The sequence below is a fragment of the Homo sapiens genome, chromosome 4 (genome assembly GCF_000001405.40).
Source record: "Homo sapiens chromosome 4, GRCh38.p14 Primary Assembly".
Lineage (NCBI taxonomy): Eukaryota > Metazoa > Chordata > Mammalia > Primates > Hominidae > Homo > Homo sapiens.
This window is the reverse complement of record NC_000004.12, coordinates 184,820,150-184,825,456: the sequence shown is the minus strand read 5'-3', so window position 1 is coordinate 184,825,456 and position 5,307 is coordinate 184,820,150. Positions and strand designations below refer to the sequence as shown.

The following is a 5,307-nucleotide window of genomic DNA, read 5'->3' as shown; positions in this document are numbered from 1 at the left end:
GAGACTGCACTCGCGCCCGCTGAGATGCCGGCCCCACGCAGCGCGGCGGCACGAGGCCCACAGGCAGCTCAGAGGCCGCTGCCAGAGGCAGACATTCTCTCGGTGACTCCAGAGGAGTGCCCGTGGCCCTTGCACTTGGCCGTGGAGTCATTGATCTAAGGAGTGCTGGCATTTTTTGAAATTGAGAAGCAAAGATGATGTCTGTCACCTGGCAGCGTAGACGGAGAGTGGCGGTAGATGACTTGAATGGACACGTGGATTCGAGTCTGGGGACAGGCGTTCCCCCAGTCGGTGCGTTGTGAGAGTGTGGAAACCCCTTCCCCACTCAGTCCAATTTCAAGGTTATGGAGCATAATTAAGAGTGACCATTCTAAAAGCGTTCTCTAGTGCCCTGGCTAAGACTTTTAAGCTTCTTGGTGCAGGAGTGTCTAAAGTCCCGCGACTCTCACTGCCCTGTCTTTTATTTTCTTGACCTTTGATTAGCGTTGAGAGAAACTGGTTAAATCTTGCAGTTTCTGCCACCCATTTCACAACTTAACCTGTGATTGTCCCAAAGAAAACAATTATTGGCTTCTTGCTAGCAAAAAAATCAAAGGCTTCCGGTTGATTGTTTCTTTCTTTTTTTTCTTTTTTCAAGTGGACGTGGAAGGTTAGGCTGGCTAAAACTTAAAGTTTGAGTTGTAGGTCTGTGCTGGGTAGGCTTGAGAAGATGGAGCTTTTTAAGGAACCATTGCTCGCCATCAGATTGGAGCCAGACAGTGCAGTGTGATATAGTGGAAAAGGACCAGGTCTTGGGAGACTTACTTTCTTGTTCTGACTCAACTCGGAAAACACCTCCCTAGTCTGAGGCCCCCCTCCTTATATTTGTGAACAAACTGCATTAGACTAAAATCTTTCACGAGTCCAAATTCTGCGACTAGAAAAATAAACTTGTTAGCCGCACACCTTATACCTCTCCCCTTTAAAACAGACATATTAAAGACTTCTGTTTTCTGAATTTACTGTAAACAGAATACTTAAAAAAAAATTACCCAGACAGGCGTGGTGGCTCACTGTAATCCCAGCACTTTGGGAGACCGAGGCGGGCAGATCATTTGAGGTCAGGAGTTCGAGACCAGCCTGACCAACATGGAGAAACCCTATCTCTACTAAAAATACAAATAATTAGCCAGGCGTGGTGGCATGCATCTCTAGTCCCAGCTACTCGAGAGGCTGAGCCAGGAGAATCGCTTGAACTCAGGAGGCAGAAGTTGTGATGAGCTGAGATCCCGCCACTGCACTCCAGACTGGGCAACAGAGCAGGACTCTGTAAAAAACAAAACAAAACAAAAAATTACCCTTCCCCACAATTATAAGCATTTTGGCATATTTCCTTCCTGTCTCTGTTGTTCCTATTTTGGCAGTATTTTTATTGTTATCGCAGGCAGCCTGACTGAAAAGAAATCTGGGCTTCTAAGTTTTTGGTATTTAGGAGGTAGATACAAGTGACCCATGCATGTAGGGTTAGGTATCTATTTATACCATGCAGGTAGAGTTTTCATAGCCACCTCTACTTTTGGGTGAAGTTTAGGCTAACTGAAAGTGTACCAGCATGCATGGTGTATGCAGAAAAATGAACGTAATTCAGATTATGTGATAGTTTTCTCTTGTTGCCATTATATATAACCCAGGGCTTACCACAAACTGAAATTTCTTATGCATTGACATTTAGCATTTGATGTAAAATGACTATCTCAGAGTTGCTGCCACAAACACTGGTAAAACTGTCCCTACTTTCTAGCATGCTTAATGTCTAGGTCTTGCTACATCTTTTTTGATGTAACTGTTTTGTGGAAAATGGTTGTGTGTTTGGGGAGGCTTTTGAGAAAAGATAAGGTTGTCTTGTCATTATAACTGGGTATTTCTCCTCTCTCCCTTCCAGTTTCACTTGTCTGGAAATAGCAAGACTATAGGAGTAGTAATTTCTAGATATTTATAGTCAGTAACCTTAGAGGAATGTTTAGTTTTTAAGATCAATTGAATTTATTGTGTAAGTTTGCCATTTAAAACAGGTGCCCATTTGTGTTTACTGTCTCTTGTAACCAAACTCTGTTCAATTAGAATCCATTAGTAATGTTTTGTGGAGAGTCTTGTTTGGATGATGCAGTGCATGAGGCTCCTGTACTACAAAATAGAAAAGAAGTTCCTCTAAGGCAGCTCAAAGCTGTTGATATCCTGAAGCCTTTTTAGGCCTCCCTCTCTGACAGGCGGTGATCTGACAGGAGGTAGATAAAGGTGCCGGAGTTTTTAGTGAAGGTTGGCAGTCCAACTTGGTAGTCAGACAAACACATGATGGTCAAAAGTGCCTTTGACACTGGGGCCTGGAGAAGAATTCTCAGTGGCCAGAGCTGATCTGAAGCTGCAGGCAGTTGAGTTTGAGTTTCAACATGTTGGTACTTCAAGGGGCTTCTGAAAAGTTTTAAAGGAGCACAAGCCCTGAAGGAGTAGCTGAACTTAGTGAACTGGAGAAGGCAGGGGCAGTTTTACCAGGGTTTGTGGCAGCGACTCTAAGATTGTCATTTTACATCAAATGCTGAATGTCAATGCATAAGAAATTTCAGTTTGTGGCAAGCCTTGGGTTGTATATAATGGCAAGAAGAGAAAACTATCACATAATCTGAGTTATGTTCATTTTCTACATCATGACATTTTCACTTTCTTTTTTTTTTCTTTTTTCCCAGATAAGGTCTCACTCTGTCGCCCAGGTTGGAGTACAGGCATGATCATGGCTCGTTGCAGCCTCTCCACCTCCCTGGGCTCAGTTGATCCTCCCACTTCAGCCTCTCCAGTAGCTTAGACTACAGGCGCACATCACTATGCCCAGCTAATTTTTGTATTTTTTTCGTAGTGAAGCGGTTTTGCCATATTGCCCAGTTGTCTCGAACTCCTGGGCTCAAGCGATTTGCCCTCCTTGGCCTCCCCAAAGTGCTAGGATTACAGGCGTGAGCCACTGCACCCAGCCCACTTTCATGTTCTTGACTGTGTTAGAAACAACACAGTATTGATTCACTTATGACCTTTGAGGAATCAAGAGGGGCGGGTGAAATATTGGAGACTCCTTGAAGTGTGGCTGGCTTGGAGGGTGTCACCCTTGGACAAAAACTTAAGTGGAGGTGAGTAAGGGCCCTGCTCCCCTGTGCTGCCTGCCTTAGAAGGATGTGATCATCTGGAGGCAAATAGCTTGTTGCTTGAGGCCAGGAGTTCAAGACCAGCCTGGGCAACAGAGCAAGACCCCATCTCTAGAAAAAAAAAAGTAAAAACAATAAAATAAAATCTCAAAACTGGTGGTTCCATATAGGTGCCTGGGCTGATTCTCTTTATGAATTATTTGCTGGTCTTCAAGTTTAAATAAAATTCTGAAAGCTGTCTAATATCTAAAAACCACTTGCCACAGAAAAGCTGTATTTGTTTTTCATATTTTAAGAGTCATACATACTTACTGGAGAAAATTTGGGAAATAGGAAAAATGAAGCTCTTCCAGAGATTAAATACTATTAACATTTTGTTATATTTCCTTCCAGTCTTTTTTCCCTATACAATAAACAAATTTTAAGCATACATTGTTAATTAAAGATTACAATTTTGACAATTTAACTTTATCACCTAAGTTATATTGTGGGCTTTTTTACACGTTGTTACATATTCTTCAAAAAATAAGTTCTGAAGATGACTGCATTATTTGCTGTATGGGCCATAATTTAGTTACTTCTCCCCATTTGTTGGATATTTTTCAGAACAGTTTACCAACCTTTGTTATATGTTTAAATACGTCTTTAAAAAATAAAAAATGTTCTGCTTTAAAACTCTTGAAATTAACAATAATTTGAAAAGTGTTTTTACTAATGAATAGGTTTAATGGACTTTTGGGTTCATGTATTCTAGTCAAAAGCAGTTGAAATAGGGATTTCATGGTTTGGAAAGAGAAATGGAAAGAAGTTAGGGCATCAGAGGAGGAAACGGGGCCTGCCTGTAGACCATTTCCTCATTCTGGAGGGGACTTCTGATAAATGTAGGCTCTATCCATTAGCACAGCTTTGGCTGCTATAGAAATGGGCACTTTCCCCTTAGGTTTGTTGTGGGAGAAATGTCCATATAAGAAGGACTGAAACACTCTGAATACTATTTATTCCTTTATTAAGCAGAGTCATGAGAAAGTGCTTCCGGAGCTAGTTTCTCCTTCAGGGTCCAGGTGTCTGCCACAAAGCAGGGCTGTGGTAGCTGACCGAGGTGGTAGCCACAGCCTGGACACGGCCAGGCTTAGGAACAGAGCAGTGATGAGAGCAGCAGACAGAGCCAGGTGCTGCTAAGCTTCTGATGGGTTAACTCATTAGTACCTTCAGCAACCCTGTAAGGTAGGTCCTGCTGCTATCCTTACTGTACACAAGATAAAGGAACAGGTGCAAAGATTAAGTTCCCCATACCAGAATTTGAACCTAGGCAGTCTGGCTTCAGGGTCTGTGCTCCTAATTGCTGGGCTCTACTGCCCCTCCAGAGCTAGAAGTTCTCACTCCAGGAGGGCCTAGAAAGTTCCAGGTTAGGCCAGGTGCGGTGGCTCACGCCTGTAATCCCAGCATTTTGGGAGGCCGAGGCGGGTGGATCACCCTGACCAATATGGTGAAACCCCGTCTCTACTAAAAATACAAAAATTAACTGGGCGTGGTGGTACGTGCCTGTAGTCTCAGCTGCTCGGGAGGTTGAGGCAGGAGAATCGCATGAACCCAGGAGGCGGAGGCTGCAGTGAGCCAAGATTGCGCCACAGCACTCCAGCCTGGGTGACAGAGTGAGACTCTGTCTCCAAAAGAAAAAAAAAGAAAGTTCCAGGTTATACAGCTGGCAGTAAGACAGGAAGGACAGAGCTGGGTCTCCTTCGGTGTCACTGCTCCTTGATTTTACCCCCATCTCATTTACACTCTGCCTTGAATTATCTCTTTATACCACTAGAGTGCTGAAAGAGACCACAAATTTTGATTCAGCGTGGCTCAGGGAGTGATAAGATCACTTGCTATGTAGCTGTGACTTTCTAGAGAATTAAAAAATAAAAGGCTTTGCCTGCCCTGGACATTGGTCTTGTAAGGCTGGAGAACAATTGAGACGCATGACTGGCCGGGTGCAGTGGCTCACGCCTGTAATCCCAGCACTTTGGGAGGCCGAGGTGGGCGGATCATGAGGTCAGGAGATCAAGACCATCCTGGCTAACACGGTGCAACCCTGTCTCTACTAAAAATACAAAAAATTAGCCAGGCATGGTGGTGGGCACCTGTAGTCCCA

The 5,307-nt window shown here is 43.8% G+C and overlaps 1 protein-coding gene across 13 annotated transcripts in view, besides 1 other annotated feature; it reads left to right on the top strand.

The window, feature by feature from the left end:
* Positions 1-5,307, top strand: part of ACSL1 (acyl-CoA synthetase long chain family member 1) — a 71,000-nt gene that overhangs the window by 1,138 nt on the left and 64,555 nt on the right. For 2 of the 13 annotated variants that reach the window (NM_001381878.1, XM_047449819.1), the window contains one exon: positions 221-291. The exons of the other annotated variants lie outside the window; for them this stretch is intronic. The gene's annotated coding sequence lies outside the window, so the exon portion shown is untranslated. Of the gene's footprint in view, positions 1-220; positions 292-5,307 lie in introns of those variants that run through there. 13 annotated transcript variants of the gene reach the window in all.
* Positions 171-240: an enhancer, noted in NCBI's record as "active region_22240". NCBI's record gives its function as "activates an Ori minimal core promoter by ATAC-STARR-seq in GM12878 lymphoblastoid cells {active_cell/tissue: GM12878}" and the evidence as "EXISTENCE:reporter gene assay evidence [ECO:0000049][PMID:35858748]".